Consider the following 25,124-nt stretch of genomic DNA (forward strand, 5'->3'; position numbering starts at 1 on the left):
GTGCCCAGCCAGAACCTCATTCTTCAAGGTTGCTCACTGATAACTGGCCAAGGCAAAGAGTGGTCAGGGCCTTACATTCTCGACATATCTGGAAAGTGCAGGTACTCTCAGGGTCCAAGGCAAATTGCCTTTCCTAACGTGGTTTTCATATCAAGGTTACACTAACCTCAATTAACATGAGCTTTCTCTTTTAAATCCCAGAAACTATTTGGATAAATGAGGGATTTATGTCTTGAAGTTTTGGTCAAACACTGTAAACTGGGCCTATGTTTGGGGTGGAGAAGGGGAGAATTTTGATGTAATAATTTTTTTTTTCTTGAGTGAACATTTTGTATTTTCCCAGAAAGCTAATCTGTATCAAAAAGTTCTCAAATGTATAGGCTGATTTTTTATAATTGCTTGAATCTACTCTATTTATATCTCCTTTTTCATTGAAGATATTTCTATTTGTGACTTTTTTTGCCAGTCTGACAAGTTATGTTCCCTCCCAAAAATCAGCCTTTGGTCCACATTCTACAGCTTTTGCATTTTCCTCTCATCTCCATCCTCTGACACAGAGTGATGGGGACTATCTGAATCTTCCATATACCCGTTAACAGGTTCCAGCTGGAGTGGGAACCATAGTTCCTATTTCATCCTGTTTTTGTGGGCTGGTCCAGCACACCTTCTACCTTCAGAATTTCTGTGAAAGAAGGGACAAGTCTCTGTGCTCACCACACTCCTAGAGGTGCATTTCCAGTTATTAAAAGAACTTCCTCACCTTGCACTGATCTAGCAGTGGCACTATGGTAGGTCTGTGAGTTTCTGAAGCAGAGTAATCTATTCAACCAAAGGGGATGCTTAATTTCATCTGTGCAGGCACCCCCAACCAGGTAATTCTGATACCCATCCCCTTCGCTTGGTCTGAGAAACAGAAATGTTGGTGACGTGGTCTCTCAGTAAGCCCTAGATGAAGGGGGGATGGTATTGTCCACTTGTTACTGATTGTAGTGAATGCTTATAATTTTATGTGGCCTTGGCACTCATTGGGAATATAAGTTGGACTTTCCCATACAGAAGCAGAGCTCAGTCACCCTTGACACAGTTTCCAGTTCTATGTCTCCCAGTTCCTCAATGTGGTCCATCCAGATGGCTGCCTTATACAGCTGCTCACTGTCAACCACTTTGCTATGGCACAGCTAGATGCAGCTTGCCTGTCTGGCCTCATTGACCCTCACATGGGCTGTGTGGATATGTCACAGTGACCACCTCTCAGTCACAGAGTGGTCTCCTGGAACTTATGCCTGCTTGCTTTCAACCTAATTGAAACTCCTCAAGGGAAACTTGTTTGAATAATGCCCTGGACCCAATAAAGGCACTGGCCCATATGTCCCTCTCTTTCCCTGCCTGCATTCTCTGACCTCCATGTGTGTGGCCTCCAGATGTGCCATGTACTTCCCAGGACCTATAAATAATAATACCTGGAGTCTCTCTCAAGCATTGAGTCTCATCACAAGCTCTCCATCGTAAAAATCTTGAATTAAAACACTGACTCTCTTGAGAGTGTAGAATATTAATAATGCTTCTTCTACAGCTTTAGGTCCAGTTGTTAAAAAAAAAAAAAAAAAGAGAGACACCCGAAAACAAACTGTGGACCAATATTTTTTGAAGTGTCCTTTGTGATAAACAATTTAAAAATTGAATAAGGCCACCCAATACAATATTATAAATGAATTGATTAGTATACTACAATCCAGATGATAATTTAAAAATTCAGATAGCTCAATTTTTTAGGAACAGAAAGTAGAATGGTGGTTACCAGGGGCTAAGGGAAAATGGGGAGTTGGCGTTGAGTGGGTATAGAGTTTCAGTGTTGCAGGATGAAGAAGTTCTGGAGATTCATTGCACAACATGAATATACTTAAAACTACTGAACTCTACAGTTAAAAATGGTTCCAATGGTAAAAAAAATTTTTTTTTAAAAAGAAAACCAGACATCTGACGTCAAGCTGATATAAGGAATTTATTGTGTAAAAAAGAAACATCTAGAGAATGCCACAGACAGGCCTAGTATGGCTACAGTACCGTATATAAAAGACAATTGCTCACAATGATAGCACTGAAGCACTGAGAGATATCAAAGTACTTTCTGAATCGAATCAAATGATACTTAGTGTAGTTTTAATATCCTCATATATATCAAAGTTTTACTACTCTGATAATTTTGTAAACCAGGTAACCAGAACATCCAGTCATACAGCTTTTGGTGATATATAACTTGGCAATAACCCAGTCTGGTGATACATAAAACTACTCACTGTACTCATCTGGTATATACCCGCACGAACATTTTGAAATTCCAATTTCTTGGTCAAGTGATATATTGCTTGAATTCATTAAATATATTTAGATTTCTGTATTATACAAAGTTAAATGTACAACTAAATTAGTATATGAAAAGTGCTCACTACGTTTTTACGGGAAATAATCCTGACAAAAATGTTTAATGAATGTACTCTATACTAATTCTGCCTTTTTATACTTAATTCTAAATTTCTCCCCTCTAATTTACAACAAATTTTGTGATTTTTATAAGAATCTATGCCTCCCCAATTCTCAGATTCTTCTCTTTTCTCCTTTATTTCTTTGCTTAAATTCAGTATAAGCTTTCTTGGTATTTTAGGCTTCATGCACATTCTTATTCCTAAACACCAGCAGTTCTTCAGAGACCTAAAATCCAGTATAGGAATAACTGTGTTAGTTCTTGAAAAAGCATTAAAGACATTTTTCCCTGAAACATACAGAACATGTCATGCCAAATCTCTTGTTTACATAATAAACTGGTAATACCGGTGAATTGCACATACAGATTTTATCTCCAAGATAGAATAACTTAAATATTAAAACGTACCTTTAACTGACTTTGTAACAGACAGCAATATTCAATACAAAAATCACAAAACCCACTAACTTTAAACGCTGCATAGTACAGCATACAAACTCATCTCCCTATGACCTACTGAAACTATGACAACTTTTTAAGCTACTCTAGCATTTAAACCTTAACTAGAAATTTATACGAAACACGATTTTATGTTCAAATATGGAAATAAGTAACATAATTCCAAAACCCAAAAGCATCCCAGCATTCTGTAAAAAGAAATACCCCCAGCGGCTACATCCATGGTCACTAGCATCATTGTGCAGCATTTCAGGTACCTTTAAAAAAAAGTAAGGGAAAATAAGAGTGACATTTAAGTTTTTAGAACTACAGATTAGTTTTTAGAAAAATTTATAGGACAGTATACTAGCTTTATTTGTAGCTAGATATACTGTGAGTTAATTCCTTAAAACATGATTACATACATACTGACTCTAGCTAACAATGTCACACAGCATTTCCTAGCAGTTTAACAATGATTACTCATGATGTTCTGGGCAAGAAAAAGTTTGTATTGGTTCCAGTTTCCACTGGAAAATGAAAAGCGATATTGATTTTCCTACTTCAGTTACTGGCTGCATATCTGAACTGGATATAACATGTAGTTTGTCTTTAGTTCAGAGATAGAAAACCTTATACTATATAAGATACATATTGTCTTTGATTGCTTACAAAGTAAAAAATAAAAATAAAATAATAAAATACAATTTTAGCGGTAAGATTGGTTGGGATTGTTTTGAGGACATTAGTGACAAAAAGATATGACTCCTTTGTTGATTAATAAACTAAGCATTCTGAAGTATACAGCATGCCAACAATATGCATCTTGTCCTAGACTTCCTACAAATCTATAGAAAATTCACTGCCTGATTACTGAGATCATACCCTAAAATGATACATCAGAAGGATGTAGATATTTTTGTGAATCTGGACACATATTAAGCAAGATAAAGGTGTGATCAACAATCCAAAAAAAAAAAAAAAACTCTAAAGAACCTATATTCTTATATGCCACAAATTTCTGAATATAGAATCACTTCTCATAATGACTGCATTTAAAATCTTTTTTAAAAAAATGATTTTTTTTTTGAGACAGAGTCTTGCTCTGTTGTCCAGGCTGGAGTGCAGTAGTACAATCTCAGCTCACTGCAACCTCCATCTCCTGGGTTCAAGTGATTCTCCTGCCTCAGCCTCCCAAGTAGCTGGGACTACAGGCGCATGCCACCAACCCTGGTTAATTTTTTTGTAGTTTTTAGTTGAGACAGGGTTTCACCATGTTGGCCAGCCTGGTCTCGAACTCCTGACCTCACGTGATCTGCCTGGTTTGGTCTCCCAAAATGTTGGACTAACAGGCATGAGCCACCGTGCCCAGCCAAAAAAAAAGATATTTTATTGAGCCTATAGTCCTAGCTACTCAGGAGGCTGAGATGGAAGGATCATTTGGGCTCAGGAATTTGAGACCAGCCTGGACGACATAGCAAGATTCCACTTCCTGCTCCCCCAAAAAGAGAGAAAAAAAATGAGGCTTTACCGAATATTTTCTCTATTTTATTGTTGGTCAATAATGTAATAAGACTTCTTAAAAACTTACCATATCAACCAGAGCAACATACATGAATAAGCCAGCAGTAAGTGCAAATATCCACATAGAAACATTTTCAGCATAATGACCAATGAAAATTCCTGTTGCCATTCCAAGATACGCCAGCATGGCTGACAATGCATTATAAAGGACAGCCTGCTTAACGGTCATGCCAGCCTTTAGTAGAACAGCAAAGTCACCTTTAACAGAAAACAAAAAAGGAGGAAAAAGTCATTGAGAAATCATTTTTAAGACACATACCAAGATACTTCCCAGATTTAAGAAAATTTTCCAGTGTTTTTGAGAGGGGGAAAAGAAAACAAAATTAAGAATGACCTAGGGTTAAAGCAGTGTTAGTAAATCACCCTAACAGCTGTAGAAACTATTGTTTTTCCTTTTTATTCTTCATCATTCAACTTGATGTACAAACTTTTTTTTTTTTTCTTTTTTTTGAGACAGTATCTTGCTCTGTCACCCAGGCTGGAGTGCAGTGGCACCGATCTTGGCTCATTGCAACCTCTGCTTCCTGGGTTCAAGCCATTCCTGTGCCTCAGCCTCCTGGGTAGCTAGGACTACAAGTGCATGCCACCACACCTGGATAATTTTTTTACTTTTAGTAGAGACGGGGTTTCACCATGTTGACCAGGGTGGTTTTGAACTTCTGACCTCAGGTGATCCCCTTGCCCCGGCCTCCCGAAGTGCTGGGATTAAAGGCGTGAGCCACTGCACCTGGCCAGATACCTTAACCAAAAAAATTTTTTAAGGCTTACACTTTGTCAAAATGATAAACACTAAAAATTTAATATTGTGGTCTTGCAGTGTTTTCAAGGAGCTTGGAATTTGGCCACAAAGAAGGGAGGAATGGGTGGAGAACACACATGAGATGATCAGCAAATGATAATGGTAATGCATAAAAAACAGCTGAAGAGTTCAATGCTACAATTATAAAAGGAGAAAAGAGACACATGAAGATGGAAATAAGAGAGGGGCTTCATGGGACTTGAATGTGGAACATAGATGCTGAAGATGATAAGGAATGGCTGAACATATAACAAGGAACAAAAGTGAAAATGGCATCAGCGGTATGTGTGTGAATATATCTCCAAAACAAGAAAAACAAGGACGTGAACTGGGATCCAGAACTTGGGAAGGTTTTAATGCCTAGTGACAAAGAAGAACAATATTGAAAACACAACTCATCCACTTCCCTTCAATTCCAATGAGATTCTCTTTCTCAACTTTTGTTAATGGAAGATGATTCCTTTGTATCCTGTAGTCTTATTCACCTTGTGTGTATGAAGATGATCCCTGATGTCATCAGTATGCTGGTTAGCAGACTTATGAGAAGGCATGAAATTGATGAAGAAGCTTGCTGAACTACCATTAGCAAAAGCCAGTGACACTAGAACATTTCACCCACTTGGCAAATACAATTTATGTGGTTCTCTTACCTAATTCATGAGGCAACTCATGACAGAACACAGCAACAGAAGTACTTAAACCACTTGATAAGCCTTCAGTAAAAGCAGCACCTGTGTAAAAATCAATCAGAAAAAGTTTGGCTACATTAATTTGTGTTTTTTAATCTTATCAGTATGCAAAATGAGGTAACAAGAAAATGGTATTTTGGCTGTGAATGAATAGAAGTTTCCCAAACCAACTCTGTATCTTCTTTGTAAGAAATCTTAGAGTACATTCCATGAGGTCTAAATTTCCCAAAGGAGCACATCGGGCATGAAAGAGAAGGGAAGGTTTTCTAGGCCTTAGAATGAGCGGATAAAGTTATACAAATCTGAGGAGTAACTGCTACCATATAAAAGGCATATTCAAGAATATAAAATAAACTGTTTAAAAGGTTTAGGAAAAAACTCTCCTGTCAAGGGTATAAACATGTTTCACTTGCCTCAGAGGAATTTACTATGTAACTAGATGTTTACATTTATTCTTTCACTGTTTCAGTGAGAAAACTCTAAGACAAATAGCCGTCCCCTTTTAAAAATCTGACATATTATACAATCAATCAATTATAAACCATGACTGTGCATATATATTTTTTTTTTTCAGAGACAGGGTTTCATTCTGTTGGCCAGGTTGGAGTATAGTGGTGAGATCATAGCTCACTAGAACCTCAAACTCCCGGGCTCAAGCGTTCCATCTACCTCAGCCTACCAGGCAGCTGGGACTACAGGTGTGTACCACCATACCTGGCTAATTTTTTTTTTTTTTATTTGTAGAGATAAGGTCTCACTATGCTGTCTAGGCTGGTCTTGAACTCCTGGGCTTAAGCGATCCTCCTGCCTTGGCCACCCAAAGTGCTGGGAATACAGACATGAGCTACCGCACCCAGCCGACTGTGCAATCGGACATTCCTCCTTTGTCTGTTTCAGCTCTGCATAATATAGTACAAGAGGAAGAGCACTCGACTCCCAGGGAGCCAAGGCCAGGCCTAGCTATAACACAGCACAGCCTCCTTGGACAAGTGGCGTCACCTTGACAGGCCTCAGCTGCCTAATTGCATGGTTCCTTCCAGCACTAAATTATTAAAATTTGTAAGTATTCTGTTATCTCCCAATTGTGGTATAACAATTTATTAGCAAAAGTTCTATAATTCTTCATAGGATAGAGACTGGTAACTGGACTTAGATGTATGAAGATTCCTTTAGCATAAAAGATGATGGAAAATATAATTTTACTTTTATAAATATTATATTATCGATAAGGGAACTTCAATGTATAGGGAGAAAAAAAAATCTCATACATGCACCATACAAATTAAAGACTGATCTTAAGACCTTGCAATTTAAGAACAGCTTTTGACAGTTACAATTTAGGTAATGGGCTAGGTACAATTCCTAGCATTTAATCATACCTAACATTTATTGAGCACTTCATTGTCAAAGTAGTAAAAGAAAAAGTAACATTTTTATAATCTTGGAAGTCACTAATATCCTCATCTAAACTAATCTATTCTTTGTTAAAATTTGACTAGGTGTTTAATGTGACATTTTCAGAATCAATCAACAAGGAACAAATATGTAGATATATACCAATTGCTAGGCCATCGCTGAAATTGTGCAGGCCATCACCCATTATCACCATCCAGGCCAGAGTGGCGACGCCGGCATCTTTCAGCTCCTCCCGAGAGTAGCGCTGGCTGTGACTGTGAGGATGGTGGTTTTGGTGGTGGTGATGATGGAGAATATGATGGTAGTCATGATGGTGGTGAATGAGATCGTCTGACTGGCCGAGTGTATCGTGGAAATGTGAATGGCATTTATTCTTGCACCCTCTGGGTACATATTCATTGTAGACTTCCTGTGGATGAGCATGAGCTATCATGACCTCTTCTTCTTCCAAGACTGCAGGCTGCTGAGAATCAAAGTGGGAGGGCTCTTGTGAGTCTGCTCGTAAATAGCCTTCAGTTCCTAGGAATAAACATAAAGGGCATGGGGACAGTTAGAAGGCTTTGTTAATGGACTTGGAGACATTTCAAACCTCATTGAAAAAGTCAACAGAAGATCTTAAAGCATGATAACTCCTTCATATCTGCAGAACTAAATATTAAAGTATTACTGATGAAAAACATCAAAAGATTTTAATGAATTCCAGAAATGGAATGGTCTCAAATATTAAGAATGGATTTTAAATGTTAACCTTCAATAACTACCTCTCAGATGCTCCCTCAATTTCTTCTGCCTCCCTACCTTTTTAAAAATGACTTTTTTCCTCATCCTAAGAGAAGAACCTGCTTGTTTTAGAAAACATGTTATGTTATTTAAAATATTTATTTTAGAAAAATATCTTAGAGAAGTAATGAAAATTAGAAATAAAAAAACATGCATAATCCTGCCATCTGACTTCCTCTTTTTTGGAAGGCAAAATTCAAGGAAAAAACAGAGAATCCGAATTATTTCATCATCACCAAGAAGCATTTATTATCTATCTGTGCAAAGGAAAATAAATTGCCACAATAAGGTTATTTTTTTTCTCCTGTACATAGTTATCAATTTTCTTGGAACCATCCCTGACACTGCAGTCCATTTCTAGGGCAGGTATTTCCTCCCCATCATTACACATTTCACTGGAGTCCATTTAAAAAACTGAAGAGGGGGCCGGGCGTGGTGGCTCACGCCTGTAATCCCAGCACTTTGGGAGGCAGAGGTGGGCGGATCACAACGTCAGGGGATCGAGACCATCCTGGCTAACATGGTGAAACCCCGTCTCTACTAAAAATACAAAAAAAATAGCCAGGCATGGTGGCGGGTGCCTGTAGTCCCAGTTACTCGGGAGGCTGAGGCAGGAGAATGGCGTGAACCCGGGAGGCGGAGCTTGCAGTGAGCTGGGATCGCACCACTGCACTCCAGCCTGGGTGACAGAGTGAGACTCCGTCTCAAAAAAAAAAAAAAAATTAAAACAACAACAACAACAACAACAACAACAACAACCATATATCAAAACAGTGTGGTCTAGGCACAGTGGCTCATGCCTGCTGTCGTTGGGTGCTGAGGGAAGGCCTCTAAAGGAGATACCTGATTTGAGACCTGCACAACAAGAGGAGGAATGCATGTAATGGTCTCAGAGAACGGTATTCCAAGTACAAGGAATAGTGAGTGCATGGCCCGGAGACAAGCCTTATGTGCTCCCAGCGTGAAAAGAGGGCCAGTGGGGCTGGAGCACAGTGAACAATGCGGGAGAGTGGTGGGCTCAGCGGGACCTTGAAGATCATGGCAAGGAGCTGGGTTGAAAACATGAATCTTAACTCAGTCTGTCCGACAAGATATGCCAAGCAAACAGCCAAGTTTCAGGAAAAACAGGAGAAACATGGTAGATACAACCTTAGGCAAGTGATCAAAATTACCACCACCAATAAGTGACAAAGAATCATATCAGGTGGCACACCATGTGACAGAAAAGGACAAGTACCATTTTGCGGTATTCCTGCCAAAACTGATCAACCTAATCATGCAAAAATACTAAACAAACCCAAAAGTAGAGGCAACTAAATGCAATATTTGATCCTGAATTGTACTCTGGAACAATATTTTGGTGGGGGTTGGGGGAGTGTTGGCATAAAAAGCACTATTAAGGCATTTGGAAGAATAACGTCTACAGAGAATGGCACTGTATCAGTATAAATTTCCTGATTTAATAATTAAACTCTGGTTATATGAGAGAATGTCCATTTTCCTAGGAAACATAAGTATTTAGGAGTAAAGAAACATCATGTCTATAACTTACTCTCAAATGGTTTAGAAAAAAAGTGTGTGTAGCTGGCCCTTTAGTCACTAAAAAATTAAAGAAAAAGGTGTGTGTGTAGACAGAGCTAGAGAAAGACAGTGTGGTAAAATAACTGGGGAATATGAGTGAATGGGATACAGGAATTCTTTGTACGATTCTTAAACTTTTCTATGAATATGAATTTACTTCAAAATAAAAAGTTACAGAAAAAATAAATGTAAATATACAAAAACAATGTACTCACTGGCAATATTTTACAAAGTATGAGATACTGCAAAAACCAAAACCAAGGGACATGGTCCCATTTCTTCCAGATAGTCAAGTTGCCTGCAAATCATACAGCAATGAACTCCCTCCAGCCCTAAAATTTATGCATAAGAACTTACGATCATCTGTATCTACTTTCTCCTCATTTGTTGAAAGTTGAGATTCATACTTGGACAACTGCTTCTTAATCTCCACATCATCATCATTTTCAGGTTTCTTCTGATTCTAAAATAGTGAGGGAAAACAATACTTTAAAACAGTAATTTGTTTATATGTACAGCTTTCAATCAATAACCAGGTAAGCAAAACACACAGAATGCCCCCACAGTCATCTACTCTTAAGTATGTTCCCACACTAGCAGCACACTATCTCCTGGGAACTTGTCAGAAATGCATACTCCCGGCCAGGCGCGGCGGCTCACGCCTGTAATCGCAGCACTTTGGGAGGCCAAGGCAGGCAGATCATGAGGTCAGGAGTTCGAGACCAGCCTGGCCAATACGGTGAAACTCCATCTCTACTAAAAATACAAAAATTAGCCGGGTGTGGTGGCATGCGCCTGTATTCCCAGCTACTTGGGAAGCTGAGGCACAAGAATTGCTTGAACTCGGGAGGTGGAGGTTGCAGTGAGCCAAGATCGTGCCACTGCACTCCAGCCTGGGTGACAAAGGGAGACACTGTCTCAAAAAACAACAAAAAAATCCAGCTAGGGGCATTTCCTTCAGGCATCTAGTGATCTGGTAACCACCTGCCTGGCTTCTTCCATGCCTCTTCTGCACACTGAAACCCCAAACTTCCCATACTTTTTATAACCTAAAACTATAGTTTTTTAGTTATTAAAACACTTTTCTTTAATAAAACACCATTAACATGATTTCTCTTTTAAAACAAGCCTCTATTAACCCTGAATTCATCACTGGGCTTTTTAACCATCCCAAATACCATACCAGAGATATTGTCCCTAAGTCCAAGCAGCCTTTATGTTGTGTAAAGGTCACTGTTTGAACAATGGTGTCTGTGTATCATCTACTTATACAGAACATTTAAAATAAAAGTTATCACATAAATAACAGATTTCTTATTTGCAGTACCTTTGAATATGATGATCACCACCATACCTAAGATTTCATTCAAGCTCTAATACCATATCAAGTGTCTATACATTCTTAGATTTTAAGAGCTTTTAAAGGCAAACACGGCCGGGCATGGTGGCGAACGCCTGTAATCCCAGCACTTTGGGAGGCCGAGGTGGGCGGATCACAAGGTCAGGAGATCGAGACCATCCTGGCTAACATGGTGAAACCCCGTCTCTACTAAAAATACAAAAAATTAGCCGGGCGTGTTGGCGGGTGCCTGTAGTCCCAGCTACCCAGGAGGCTGAGGCAGGAGAATGGCGTGAATCTGGGAGGCGGAGCTTGCAGTGAGCAGAGATCGCGCCACTGCACTCCAGCCGGGGCGACAGAGTGAGACTCCATCTCAAAAAAAAAAAAAAAGGCAAACACACACACAAATCTTTACACTTATCCTGAATATAATGCCTCAATCAGAGAAAGTACTTAAATATTTGTAAAAATAAATGAACTCAGGGTATCTTAAATCATTTATGCTGGTGCTTTATTTCTCATTGGGCAATTGTTCTAGAAAGTAGTTTAACCAATTCTTTCATTCCATAAGTATTAAGGGCCCACAGTGTTCCCTATGCTAAATGCTGGGAGCAGAACATAAAATAAGCCCCACAGTCTCTGTTCTCATGGAGCTTACTATCCACAGGGAGAGGGTTTTACACAGGTAATGATTATATACTTCTTTGACTATAATTTTTGACACATTTTACAATAGAAAAGAACAGAGTGCTATTAAGAATGTATAATAACATGACCTCAATAATTTCCAGATGGCCACTGAAAAAATATAACTTATACCAAGACCTAAAGATAGGTAGGAATTTGGTGGGGAAGGTTGGGGAGGCAGCATTCCAGGCAGGGAGTAGCACCAGGAAGGGGCCAGCACTGTTCTGGAACTCAAAGAAGTACAAGGTGGCCGGGGCCTACTAGGTCAGAGAGGGTGGCCAGAGATGAGGCTGAGGCAACTAAAGGAGATCAGACAATAGAACTCTGTTGAGAATAGTGGGCTTTGTCCAAAAACTAATGGAGCCACTGGAGGAAGGATTTTAAGTAGTGGTGTGCAACCTCATCATATTTTCATTTAAACAAATCACTGCCCGCTCTGTGAAATCTAGATTGGGAAAAGGAGGAAAACAAAATAACGTGGACAGGCTCCTATTAGGAGGCAGTAACTGTCACTCAGGTGGGAAGTAACCATGGCCTGGACTAGAATGACAGCAAGAAAGATGGAGAGGAATGGAGAGACCATGGACATATTTATTAAAACTTGGTTGGATGTGGGGATGAGGGGGATATCAGAGATGATTCTCTAGTTTTCGGCATGAACAATAACCTTCACTAGCAGAAGGTGAACCTTAAGCAGCAGAAGGCCTATAACCTAAAAATATGATATACAGAATCTCCCAGGGATGCAGGATGGATCTCTTAAGAAAAATCCTAAGTAAAATGCCCTGTTACGAGCTTGAAGAACTCCCCATACTCACAATATAATGAGTAGTAGTTTTCTTTTTGAGAGAATTAGATTAAAAATTATTAAGTAAGTAACTTTAATATCTGGATGCCTTTAACAAAAGATAAACTCAGCATATTCCAAAAAGGGAAGAGAACATGTAACATTTGCAAAACTCCTATGGGAAGTCTTCATCTAGAAATTATGCTTATTTGCTGTTTCATGCTCCTTAAACATTCAATATTTACTACCATCGATTATGTACCAGACACTATTCTACACATTGGAGACAGAGCTGTAAACAAGACAGAGAGATCCTGGCTTTTAAGAGCTTACATTCTAGTAGATACTATTTTAAAGCAGAGTGCATCAAACTACTCTGACTATGACCCACATTAATATATGTAATGTAAAATAGTAATATATAATATTATTGTTGCATTTAAAAATATTGGTTATGACATACAGATTGATTTTACAACTCACTAACAATCTAGAGTTATAACCTAGAGTTAAAAAAGAAAAAATTATTCTGTGTCAGATAACAGAGGGCCTATTTCTTGGAGTCCTAGGTTAAAGAGGGCTAAGTTAAAGAAAAGCTATCCTTAGCTGGGCATGGTGGCATGAGCCTGTAGTCTCAGTTACTTGGGAGGCTGAGGTGGGAGGATTGCTTAAATCCAGGAATTTGAAGCGCAATGAGCTATGATCATGCCACTGCACTCTAACCTGGGCAACAGAGGAAGATGCTGTCTCTTAAAAAAAGATACTGTTTTCTTAAAAAAAGAAAAAAAAAGAAAAGCTGTATTTAGGTAAAATTTGGAAATGAAATTGAAATGAGAATGTTAAATAAATTATGACATTTTGACCCAGATGTACAGTTAAAAAAAGAAGAAAACAACCCAATCCCCAAGTCTCCCAGAATGAAAACTGATCTTTTTTTTAAATGTAAGAAAAACTGCAGAAGACTTAAAGAAGTAGGAATAAACTAGTCCATATATGGCAGATAACCTAAAACTATGATACATGGGATCTCCCAGAGGTGCAAGATGGCTCTCTTAAGGAAAATTCTAAGTAAAAAATGCCTGAAGAGCTCCCAGTACTCACCATATAATGAGTAGCTTTTTTTTTTCTTTTTGAGATAATTAAATGAGATTAGAAACTATTCAATAACATTAAGAAACAGTCCAAGGGAAGCAATTGCGTCAATGGGAACACAGAAGATGACTTCCTTGATTAAGAATAAATAAGCTATTCTTATTTTACTTCTTCCCTCTATATTTAGGTCCACTAAAGAGAAGGCTCAAAATTTTTAATTTGAGATTTCAGTGAACGTAAAATCCCTAAGAGCAAATACTCCTAGTATGTAAACACTCTCCTGTTTACACATGCATTTGTTTCCCACAGTGAGCTCTATGCTCAGCAAAAATCAACTGTGTTAGTTTTGAAACCTCTTCACGCCAGTTATACTTATTACTGTAATTGCACAATTTAATTACACATTGCTCAAACTATGAAATGATGGTAAGGAGTTACTTCTTTTTTGGGGGGTAGAGACAGTGTCTTGCTATGTTGCCCAGGCTGCTCTCAAACTCCTGGCCTCAAGCAATCCTGCTGCTTCAGCCTCCCAAAGTGCTAGGATCATAGGCGTGAGCCACCGTGCCTGGTAGGGGATACTTAATTCCGTGAACACAAAAGCTGAATACTTGGAAGATTCAAAGGCAAGGTGCTAAAAAAAGATATCAAATTACGTAAGGCTACCACTGAATAAATTTTTTTTTTAAATTTCCAAAACCTAGATTCTACATTCAGAATAGCTTTAAGTGTGTAATCTCTTGTTCAATTTTAGAGAAACCAAAATTGGAAATCATAGATGAAGCAGCATGGCTGATAAAGAAAAAAAGAAACGATACAGAATACGGAACTCCAACTTGAAGAAAATCCTGGTCAATATCAAGTGACCAGAATATGAGTGTACAGATGTATTAGGTTAGACTAAAATGTTGAGATATGAACACATCACTTTTCTTTTCTTTTTTTTTTTTTATTTTTTGAGACAGAGTCTCACTATTGCCCAGGCTGGAGTGCAGTGGTATAATCTCAGCTCACTGCAGCATCCGCCTCCCAAGTTCAAACAATTCTTGTGCCTCAGCCTCCCAAGTAGCTGAGATTACAGGCATGCGCCATCTCACCTGATTAATTTTTGTATTTGTAGTACAGATGGGGTTTCACCATGTTGGCCAGGCTGGTCTCGAACTCCTGGCCTTAAGTGATCTGCCTGCCTTGGCCTCCCAAAGTGCTGGGATTACAGGCATGAACCACCCCACCTGACCCACATCATTTTTAAGAGTCTCCTGACAGTCTTCTGAATGACTTGCCTGATCACATCAAATAAAAAGTGGCAAATTACCATAGGCGACTCAAAAGGGTTTTTTTTGGCCAGAAAGAAAGAGCCTATTGTTTGACTTCATACCATTTCTGATCCAATTTGCAAAGGGCAAGTCTGTAAAAGTCACATACCCTTTAAAAGAAAACAGAACATTTAGCTACTGGGTGACTGGAAATTAATGACATTAGTTAATCGTAACTACTAATAAATATTGATAGTGTATCCATGTATACACGATGCTTCTGGTCTTCAAGGCCCTGCTGGTACCTTGTCTGGTCACTTATACAGATGTTCATCCTTGCTTTTCTTATCCTGTCATGAGTTTCAAAAGAATAGCAAAGACAGAAAACTTCAGAGCTATTAAGATATAGAAATGCTCCTCATAAATATCTCTGGGACCAAAAAGTACTTCAAGGGTACTGAACTCCCTCTCAAATAAAGCTCATACAACCTGGGCATGCTATTCTAACAATCTAGTTAGAGTACTACTATAAATAAATATCTGAAGCATAGTAAGTACTCGGTATACTTTTTCTTACCTTTTTCTTCTTATCTTTAAATTGTTTGATCAATGTGAGGACATGTTCAACAAGAAACATGAAATACAGGCCTCCTAGAGCTGTTAGACCCTTCCACGTGGAATCAAAATAGGCACTTTCTTCTATGTTTTGAGAAGACAGATGACTGAAAAGTGGTCCTCTTTTCATTTCCATTGCTGGTTCTTCATGGCTATGACTATGGTGGTGACTTGCATGAGACTGAAGGCAAAATAATTTGTTATTTATAAATTCATCAGTTTCACACACCGAGTCAGAAAGTTGGCTAGGTAAGGTCAAAATTGAAATCATTCAGTTATGCAATTATTCAGATACTTCAGAGATGAGGTGAAGTTTAGGACATTAAAAATAAAATGACCAATGAGCAGCTAGCTATCTAGAACTTAATGCATGTCATGTACTTCAGATACATTCCCAGTGACCCCCATAATATATAAATAGTGAGCATTTTCAATGCTTGACGAATTACCATGGCCACAAATAACAGGAATACTAGACTTAATGTGCACAGTTTCTACTGCTTATTTTCCCAACTGAAAAGCCCATACCAATGTCATCACACTAGCATTGTAAGAAGCCTAGTGTGTGTGTGTGTTGGGTCCTGGCATGTACCCGAGATCCAGGTGCACTGCCCTAGCAGCCTGTAACTGAGTGGAGTAGTAACTACTGCTATTGCACATTAGGGAATCGGGTGTGGAACACACTAAGATACTGGGGGATCACAGAGTACACCCCATACACACGCCACTTTCTATCAGTAGGTATTCCCGAATGTCTGCCATCTGGTGGTCCGAGAGCTTGTCAGAGCAACATAGTTTTCTTTAACTACTGAATGGAACATGAGATTTGTAGTGCTCTAGGTATGGTGTGATTTCCTTTTCCCACATACTTGAAAACCTTTAATGGGAATTTAAAGAATGAAACACGCATATTTTTTAACTGAGCATCTATTCCAAATATCTGATGGAAAAGTAAATTCACTTTACCAAACTTGTTTTATGTGTCATGAAGTGTAAATCTTTAAATACATACATAAACATTCAACTCTGAAGAAAACCTCCAAGTTTCTTGGGTACATAAAGGGTCACATATTTTATTTCTTGGCAATTACACTAACAGATAAAGCAGATAACTCACATTGCTGCAGTCTATCACAGTACTAATAGCCAGGCAGAATTTGTCTCTTTTTATTAAGTGGGTTTCAAAAAGTTAAATTAGTCTGTGTTTTGTAAAAGGAAAGCAAAATTCACAAATGTATTAAGATCGAGCAGAAAAATACAGCTTTCACTTACCAAATATATTTTAAAATAAGCTTTTCTAAACCAAATTTCTAACATTTTATACAAAAAATTCTAGCATAAACCAAAACATTTTTTTTTCAATGTTGAATAATCAAACACTAACAGGACAAATTACTATACTTACATGTGGAAGAAGGTGTAAAAAAGCATCACCACTCAAAGTCCCAACGGCCAGTGCCACAAGGAAACTCAGGAGAAATTTGAAAAACACCCGATTCATGAGAGGCACTAAGATAACCCCCAGCAGAGACAGGAAACTGATGATGGAAATGGCTATAAAACCACCAACCCAGGCTGTCAAACAAAACAAAACAGAGCAAAGAAAAATTATACAACTAATAAACTCTACAAGAAAGACTTTTGGAGAGTAGCATAAAGCAACACGTAAAAGGAGAGAAGCTAAAAACACACAAATTCAATGCAAATAGGACCTACTGTGGCAATAGCACAATAACCAAGAAATCTGTTGTTGGCTCAAATGAACAACCTGACTGGTACTTAAGAACTCTCCAGGTAAGGAGCATAGCTCTAATGGGAAATTCTTCAGGTCGGGGTGAAAGAGGAAAAAAAAATGGTTACCAAGGATGAACTGTAGCTCACTTAGGAACTGAGCTTTCAGACTCCCATAAGAGCTAAATGATAAAAGAATTTTTTTTTTTTAAGAAAAAAGGAAAAGAAAGAAAAGAAGAGGAAGAAACCAGGAATTCAATAATGTCCTCAGAAAACAAAGCAGTGATTCCTTCCTCATTACTTTTGAGCAATGAGACCCTACGCTATAGCAGAGCCTATCCTAGCTTCACTTATCAATAAGAATGCATCAGTATTAGGTTTCTAAGCAGCATAAATGAACCCAAGACCTCTTCCCAAGCAGTGTGACATGATATAAAAATCCCAAATTTCAGGTGATCCTGACACCTTCTTGTAGGATGAACCCAGAGAAGTCATAATTGAAATTTTATTTTCTGGGATTTTTTTTTAAAGGGCAGGGCTAACACCCTTCCTTGCTTTCTTCACATTCAAGGCAAAGAACAACTAAGATGACATATTCAGAATTGTACTGGAAAACAAATAGGCTGATGCAAATCTAAGGAAAAGCACAATATAAATGAATCTACTGAAATTGTTTTTACATAAAAAAGGCAATTTTACCTATTTGTAATGAATAGGTCTTTGGAGGGATTTCAGCCTTCTTTTCACTTGTATGAATCAGACAAGATCTAGCATCAATTTGGTTGATGATGGCTGGACAGAGATAGTTGAACTCTGTTGCATTCAGCGGAACCTGGATGCCCATGCCATGAGATGTCAGTAGCTTTGATGCATTGAAACACTGAAAGAAACAAAGCAGTGAAAATCACCAAAAGCCATCCCCATTAGAGTAGTCTGATGACACAATACCCTTTTTTACTAATGCTACTTCGTTTTCTCGAGTTAATGAAAATTAAAATCAACTTCTGTTTTGAGCACTTTGGAACTTGCCTCCAGCTACCTGGCGATACTATGTCACCACAGTGGTATCCCACCTCTTCTACCTCATCAGAGAAGCAGTACATCACGAGTCACCTAGGGAGAAAGCCTCAGGTGGAACAAGCATGAGGATAAATGGAGATTCACAAGCCTGTTAACTCACTGTATAAACGTATTAAGGAAATGAGCTTTAATTTCAAAATGGGGCTCATCAGAGATTGAGAAATATGTTGCTTCAGTACTAACGCTATCCTACTTGGCCTAAACAAGTCCAAGACATGCCTCTCTTCTAGTAATGACTCTACTTGCAAAAACTCAGTTCTGTCTACATACCTGGCAAAGTAATGCTCTGCAATGAGAGGATATTAAATTATGCAGATTATTCTTGTGGAGGGCAAGGCTGGTTAATAAAACAAACCTGTACCGGCAGGCAGATGTTTTCAACTATTTAATTAGATGACAAACTTAGTTTGAAGATACTCCTCTGTGCAATCTCTCCCCCAGCCAAAAAAGAAAAAAAAAAAAAAACAACAAAAAAACCCCAAACTGGCTTTAGTACCAGTTTCTCATCTTCTGTAAAGACATTTTCAACTCCCACCACAATTCTCAGTTGGTACAACTCAGAGCAAACTTTATCACCAGGGCTGCTATGGCTATGGCCACTACTAGGATTAGTCCAGAATTAGTACAGTCACATGCTGGTTTGAATGAAGTACTAAAGTTTTGCTTATTAAACTGTATCAACTAATTCCTTGTTCCTTTTTTTTTTGACATAATTCCCTGTTCTTGACATCTCTCAGCCAAGGTGAATTACGTACAGTCTGGAAGTCTACTCTAGAAAAACCACATGAACTCAGAACCTCACTGTCCCAACTTTTCCCTTGTCCAGCATGACATTCATGGAAACTGCTCCAATTTCAATCATTCCTCAAGTCATGGTGGACCTTCTGTCAAGGAGGCAGCAGTGGTATTCTCAGTAGTCTTCAGCCCCTTCAGTCACACCTTTCCCTACAATATGGATTCTAACTCCTGCTTTCAACCCCTCATTTTCTATTTTTTATTAATAATGTTCACCTTTATAGACTTTCTCTAAAGATAGCCTTGATATCTTTCTCTACATATTTTATATTCTGTATTAGAAAAAATTGTAGGAGGCAGCACTACGCTCACCAAAAGAACTGTTCCCTAAGTTCTGAATTGGGAATGTTTACAACATAGCAGGCATGCTTTGTGGCAAGTGCCTTGCTGAGAAGGTGGAAATTCCCTTTTCAATAACTTCAACATTTTACTTTTACTTTAAACTCCTCATAACTAGAGATAGAGTAGCAGAGACAGGACAGACACACAGGTATATTAAAATAATGAACAGCACTCATCTTACCTCCTGAGGATTTTCATTTGTGTTTCTGGAATACATAAAGCCTTTTCGGGGCTCACTCACAGATTCATTTGTTTTCCTACCAGCCAGCCGGCTCACCCGGCTCTTTGATGTGACACTGGGTGGAGTGGAGCTGCTTACATCTTTGGGGAAGAGTTTTCCAGGTCTTGGAGTCTCTATTGTCTCTAGAAAGTGAGTTCCTTCAGAGACAGTGTTGTACACAGTTGAGGTCACTTCACTAGCACTAACACTGTCCTTGACATTCCTTCTACCACTGGCATGTTCTGGTCGGTGAGCTCCTTTCCCCTGGCTGTTTCTAGGATCTTTACCTGAACTATCTGAGTCATGGTCTGGGCAAAGAGCTTTTCGCTTATTTTTACCAGAAGCAGCATGATTATGGTGAGAGTGATGATCATGGTCAGAGTGATGCTCGTGCTCTGAGTGATGCTCATGGTCTGAGTGACGCTCATGGTCTGAGTGATGCTCGTGGTCTGAGTGATGGTCGTGGTCATGGTGTATATGGATTCTTTTAATCTTATCTATGCCTATATTTTGAAGTAATTTTCTGAACCCTTCAACTGACAAAGAATTATTTTCTCCATAGCGGTAGAAAAGCTGTTGTAGATGATATTGCCGTGTGGAAATTGCCAAGTCAACATTAATGCCAGATTCCCAATTCGGACTAATTTTCTCAGTGGTCTGGGGGAAAGCAGCTGCTTTTAGTTCATGAAGGGGATTTGTGACAGAGAGGGCAAAGGTCAGGATCAAGATTACAGATAACTTCCTCGCCATTGCGCCTTCCTAGAAAAGACAGGAAAAAAAAATTCTTGACTCACTTCTAAAACAAATTGAATTAAGAAACCTCATACTGAAAATTAATGTGTAATCAAATAATCAAAGTTGCCAGAGCATCATGTGGTGTGACCAGTGTGACGCTAGGTACTGTGAAGATGGAAAGAACTAGAGTCCTAGGCTCTACCCTTGCATTCCTAAAACACATGAAACAACTGGAGAAGAGCTGAGTGCTAAGAGACTGCCATTAGCACTGTAAAAGCAATAGTAATTCAGAGACAAGGGAGATCCATGTGGCCACAGCCATCAACTGCTTACTGAAGTTGAGAATTTATTTGAACGATTATTTGAATCATTGAGGCCAATGATTCATAATTAAATCTAGGCTGGGTGTGGTGGCTCATGCCTATAATCCCAGCACTTTGGGAGGCTGAGGCAGGCAGATCACCTGAGGCCAGGAGTTTGTGACCAGCCTGGGCAACATTGTGAAACCCTGTCTCAAAAAAAAAAAAGAACGAAATGAAATCTAGCTACCTTGATCATCACCATCATTTCATAAAATAACCTTCAAACACCAAAAAATAGAAATAATAATCTCAGAATTCACATATTTAAAAAATTTTAAACTAATACACTCTCCTTACATACAAGCCCATTTAAGACCCCTTTCCCCAATCACAATCCTCAAAGGTGCTCAATTTTGCCAGTGTATCCCTCAGGATATTTTCTATGCATACTCAAATACATGTATACTTAATTTTTTTTTTAAAGTTTTTTTTTTTTTTTTCTAGAGACGAGGTCTCACTATGTTGTCCGGGTTGGTCTTGAACTCCTGGCCTCAAGAGATCCTCCACCTCCAATTCCCAAAGTGCTGGGATTACAGGCGTGACCACTACGCCCAGCCTCAAATAAGTGTATACTTTAAATACACATTGAATCTTTTTTCCGACTTGACAATGAATCAGACACATTATGTCCATACATAGAATTCTTAAAGTAAACTGAACTTCATGAAAAACTCACTGTAGCATCCTTGTGTTACTACAAACCAGTCAACATTTAATCACAGGCTGTTAATCATCCACAGTAGTGTTTGGAACCAAAGGCCTGTGCCCCAAAGAGGAGGAAGCAATTGAGTTGGAGCTTGAAAAGCAGAATTCAGTTAAGCAGAGCCAGAATTCAGTTAATTCAGATCCAGCAGGATGTCCAGCACCAACGGTGGAGGTGATGGTGGTCAAACTCACATCTCCAGCAAAAGACGCAGACGTCAAGTTTACAACTAAGCAAGAGCATGGGGCTATCCAGCTCTACCACGGTCAGCTGTTCTTTGGACAGGGCTCTCGCATTCATTACCTTATCTAAAATACCGGTAAAACCTATTTTGCAAGGCGAAGGAGGAAAACACATGAAGGAATGTATATTACAAGTACTCGTTAAACTCATGTGTTGCACAAGTGCGAGGTATCATACAGGGAACAGTGGGAAATGGAGGTACGGCGTAGAACGAGGCTCCTGAAAGAGGAATCTTTGGGGCTTGAAGTTTCGGGAATTCTTTTACTAGGTAAAAGATAAACATTTAGAAATCATTCCCAGGAGAGAGGCGAGGAGCGGGGTGGGAGGGGACTAGCACAGGGGACAGCTCCGAGCCTTTCTCCAGGGAGGATGCTGAGCGCGGTCGTGGACCCGTTGAAGGATCTCCTTTCCTGCAAGTTGGTGTGTGCTGGAGGAAAAAGGAAAGCAGAAGGGAAGGGCCTTAGAGAAAAAGGCGAGTACAGAAAACGGAAAAGAGGGCACAAAGCTCTCTTCTAAAAGCTTTTTATTTCTAAACACGTCAGTCCCTTCTTCGAATATGGGATGAAAAGTACGGATCTTTTCCTCAAAAAATCCTCCGTTGCACCCCGAAGCCCATCTGAGCACCTTAAGAAGTCCGGCTCTCTAGGGTGAGTGGGCGCCTGCGGCGGGCTCCCCCCAGCATCCTCTTTCTGTAGCCCCCCTGCCCGGTCCGCAGGATCCGGTTCTCCGCAGAACCACCCCTACCCCGCCACGCCTGTCTGGCCTGAGGAGCTCCCCTCCCAGCCGCCCTGCTCCCGGACCTGAAAGACTCACGTCTCCGCGGCCTCGTTGTCCCACGGCCCGGCCACGCGCGCAGGTTTGGTTCCACACGGGCGGTCCAGAGGGCTCGGAACGGGCCCACTGGTGTCTTCGAGAAATCTCTACCAGGCGCGAACACGCGGTGGTTTCATTGGGTTGGCTGCCCCTCGGTCCGGGGGCAGCGCCGCGCAGCCACCCGGCAGCCGCGCCCCTAGCCTTCGCGAAGCTGGAAGACAATCACTAATTACCGCCGCGCGCAGCGCCGCGGGGAACCACCGCCCCCTTCGCCCAGGACTGCAGGGCATGCGCAGTGCGACCCCGGAACCCGGCTCCGCAGACGGATCCGCTTTTCCGTGTGTTCGCCGACGCCGCGGGGGCGTGGCGCGGCCCTAGCGCATTGTAAGCAGTTGGGGGTCATTTCCTCGAGGCCCTACTCGCTAGCCAGCGCCCCCGGGGCCAGCCCTGGCTGCTGCTGGGAGCCGGGTCGTAAGGGGCAGCGAGATGTTTCTGACGCTGCCCCAGGCACATGAGCCCCGGGTCCTTCGGGAGGGTCCCGAGCCACTCGGGTCGGATTTCGCTCTTGAGACAAAGGCCTGGCTCGTTCGCGGAGCGGGGCCACGGTCCAAGAGCAGAGCTAGCAAAGCGGCGGCCTTGCACAGGGGTTCCAGCCTGCGGTGGGAACGGAGAGTCTCAGGGGGGCGGGGCTGCCTCCGTCTGGCCCTCGGCTGGCTGCGAAACGTGGACTGGGTGATGCCTCAGGAGAAACCACCCTAGTAGTTCCGCTCCGAGGGCGGAAGTGCGCGTCTCTTGTTTGTGCGGCTGACCAGTTGGCGACATGGTGGCACCCGTGCTGGAGACTTCTCACGTGTTTTGCTGCCCAAACCGGGTGCGGGGAGTCCTGAACTGGAGCTCTGGGCCCAGAGGACTTCTGGCCTTTGGCACGTCCTGCTCCGTGGTGCTCTATGACCCCCTGGTAAGAGAGGTCGCTGGACGGCCGACCCTTGTGCTTTTCGGGTTGAACCTGTGGACGTGCTCCGGGCGCGCTGTTAGTTGCCGCCCCAGACCTAGGAGGCGAGTCGGGTCGGCTCAGGGGAGCGGGGTTTGGGCTCGGAGTCTCCAGTGGACCTGCCGGACTCGCTCCTCACCCCTCACCCTTTGCCGTCTCACGCGTGGCGTCATCCTAGGGTCATTGCTGCCCATGAGCTGCTAGTAACCTGTTAGTCCCACGCAGAAACCCGAATGATAAGCATCTTACCTGAAGCCTTCCTTGGGAACTGTAGTACCGTTAATCAATTTGGGTTTTAAAACAATTGAAATTTATATGTAGATTAAAACCATCATCCCACAGGTGCAATCTCATTTCAGTATTTCCTTCAGTTTTGGTTAATGAACTTTTGTTGTATTGAATTTCAAGGAAATGTTACCTGTGTTTTAGCTACGGGAATGGACATTTTAGAGAAAGTGTCAGTTTGGGGGAAAGGTCATAGGGGATGGGGATCCTAAGCACTGATTATAAGGCGGGACTTCCCTCGACTTCACCCAGTCAGTTGGTTATTTTCTTGGTGCTTTCCTCACCATATTTCTCAAGTGAATAGTTTTTGCATGCTCCCCGGAATTCATTATAACTCCATTCCCAATGGCTAAGTTGGTCTATACAGTTAGTCTTGCATCTCAAAAGGAGGCTCAGTGTAAAAAGTAAAATGTTGAAAATTCAAATACAACGCAGGAGATGGCTATATGTATTTCTGTTCATACGGCTTTATTAATTTGGTTAAAAATTTCATTATTGGCCAGGAGCGTGTCTCATGTCTGTAATCCCGGCACTTTGGGAGGCAGAGGTGGGAGCATCGCTTGAGTCCAGGAGTTGGAGACCAGTTTAGGCAACAGAGCGAGACCCCAGTCTCTACAAAAAGTTTAAAAAAAAAAATAGCTGGTTGTGGTGGCGTGCGCCTGTAGTCCCAGCTACTCGGGAGGTAGAGGTGGGAGGATCGCTTGAGCTCAGAAGTTTGAGGCTGCAGTGGACGGGGGTCGCACCACTGGACTCCAGCCTGGGCAACAGAGCCAGACCCTATCTCAAAAAAACATTATTCTCACACCCTTTGGAGATTCAAATATATATATGAAATATTTGTAACCACATTACCCCATCTTGAGCTTGCTTGCCTCTTCCTGGTTTTTGTTTCTTGTTATTTGCATTCTTGAATGGCAAGAGAAAGTGCAAAAAACAAGGGTAAACTTTAAAGGGACCATGAGGCAAGGACCGACTGTAGAATGGGAGAGACCACAGCAGGCTCTCCATCATCTCCCACAGCGTCTCCTCATCCAGCGCCGTGAGCGCGGAGCCTTGCGGCATTGCGGCACCGTTCCGCCATGGCTGGGCACTGGGAGGACCCTAAGAGGGGCGGCCATAGGGGTGGAGTTGTCAGGGAAGCAGGAGCCCGGGAGAGCCAGGGTGACACCCTTTTAAAATCAACTCCGTCGTAAAATTAGCAAGGCACACTCTTTGCCAGTCAACCCACGGTCCTGAGATGTTTACGGCAGAGGAAGCATCTTGGTAAAGTCTGCAAGGACAA

The 25,124-nt window shown here is 40.9% G+C and overlaps 2 protein-coding genes across 17 annotated transcripts in view, besides 6 other annotated features; one reads left to right on the plus strand and one right to left on the minus strand.

Annotated features, from left to right (window-relative positions):
- Window positions 1-1,983: 1,983 nt before the first annotated feature.
- On the minus strand, window positions 1,984-22,793 carry SLC39A6 (solute carrier family 39 member 6). Of its 2 annotated transcripts, NM_012319.4 has the most exons (10): window positions 22,567-22,793; window positions 19,672-20,469; window positions 17,973-18,153; window positions 16,948-17,117; window positions 15,505-15,723; window positions 10,127-10,232; window positions 7,550-7,927; window positions 5,954-6,034; window positions 4,512-4,702; window positions 1,984-3,198 (listed from the first exon to the last, which is right to left on the minus strand). In NM_012319.4, the coding sequence occupies exons 2-10, from the start codon at window positions 20,458-20,460 to the stop codon at window positions 3,046-3,048; spliced, it is 2,268 nt and encodes a 755-aa protein (NP_036451.4). In that variant the 5' UTR covers window positions 20,461-20,469; window positions 22,567-22,793; the 3' UTR covers window positions 1,984-3,045. The 2 variants fall into 2 exon arrangements, with proteins under 2 accessions (NP_036451.4, NP_001092876.1); NM_001099406.2 differs by lacking the exons at window positions 1,984-3,198; window positions 19,672-20,469 and having other exon boundaries at window positions 4,447-4,702.
- Window positions 22,591-23,096: an enhancer, noted in NCBI's record as "NANOG-H3K27ac-H3K4me1 hESC enhancer chr18:33709101-33709606 (GRCh37/hg19 assembly coordinates)". NCBI's record gives its function as "activates a minimal SCP1, AML or CMV promoter by ChIP-STARR-seq in primed H9 embryonic stem cells {active_cell/tissue: H9 hESC(primed)}" and the evidence as "EXISTENCE:reporter gene assay evidence [ECO:0000049][PMID:30033119]".
- Window positions 22,719-23,013: an enhancer, noted in NCBI's record as "tiled region #13825; HepG2 Activating DNase unmatched - State 1:Tss, and K562 Activating DNase unmatched - State 1:Tss". NCBI's record gives its function as "activates a minimal TATA promoter and a strong SV40 promoter by Sharpr-MPRA in HepG2 and K562 cells {active_cell/tissue: HepG2 | K562}" and the evidence as "EXISTENCE:reporter gene assay evidence [ECO:0000049][PMID:27701403]".
- Window positions 23,044-23,233: an enhancer, noted in NCBI's record as "active region_13234". NCBI's record gives its function as "activates an Ori minimal core promoter by ATAC-STARR-seq in GM12878 lymphoblastoid cells {active_cell/tissue: GM12878}" and the evidence as "EXISTENCE:reporter gene assay evidence [ECO:0000049][PMID:35858748]".
- Window positions 23,044-23,603: a biological region, named in NCBI's record as "NANOG-H3K27ac-H3K4me1 hESC enhancer GRCh37_chr18:33709607-33710112".
- Window positions 23,097-23,602: an enhancer, noted in NCBI's record as "NANOG-H3K27ac-H3K4me1 hESC enhancer chr18:33709607-33710112 (GRCh37/hg19 assembly coordinates)". NCBI's record gives its function as "activates a minimal SCP1, AML or CMV promoter by ChIP-STARR-seq in naive H9 embryonic stem cells {active_cell/tissue: H9 hESC(naive)}" and the evidence as "EXISTENCE:reporter gene assay evidence [ECO:0000049][PMID:30033119]".
- Window positions 23,352-25,124, plus strand: part of ELP2 (elongator acetyltransferase complex subunit 2) — a 50,659-nt gene continuing 48,886 nt past the window's right edge. For all 15 annotated transcript variants that reach the window (NR_137173.2, NR_040110.3, NR_136898.2 and 12 more), the window contains exon 1: window positions 23,352-23,524. Coding sequence is in view for 10 of the 15 variants with exons in the window: in NM_001242875.3 (NP_001229804.1) it covers window positions 23,387-23,524 (138 nt within the window). In the remaining 5 variants the exon portion in view is untranslated. The remainder of the gene's footprint in view (window positions 23,525-25,124) is intronic.
- Window positions 23,394-23,603: an enhancer, noted in NCBI's record as "active region_13235". NCBI's record gives its function as "activates an Ori minimal core promoter by ATAC-STARR-seq in GM12878 lymphoblastoid cells {active_cell/tissue: GM12878}" and the evidence as "EXISTENCE:reporter gene assay evidence [ECO:0000049][PMID:35858748]".

Source organism: Homo sapiens, chromosome 18 (genome assembly GCF_000001405.40).
Source record: "Homo sapiens chromosome 18, GRCh38.p14 Primary Assembly".
NCBI lineage: Eukaryota > Metazoa > Chordata > Mammalia > Primates > Hominidae > Homo > Homo sapiens.

What these genes read in the sequence shown, in the direction of transcription:
- SLC39A6 (NM_012319.4), bottom strand. Translation starts at nt 20,460, where the DNA reads ATGGCGAGGAAGTTATCTGTAATCTTGATCCTGACCTTTGCCCTCTCT. An exon ending in TTTTACACCTTCTTCCACAT is followed by an intron (nt 15,724 to 16,947) that starts GTAAGTATAGTA and finishes TTTTGCCTTCAG; the next exon opens with TCTCATGCAAGTCACCACCA. An exon ending in TGAGTTGCCTCATGAATTAG is followed by an intron (nt 4,703 to 5,953) that starts GTAAGAGAACCA and finishes TTTCTGTTAAAG; the next exon opens with GTGACTTTGCTGTTCTACTA.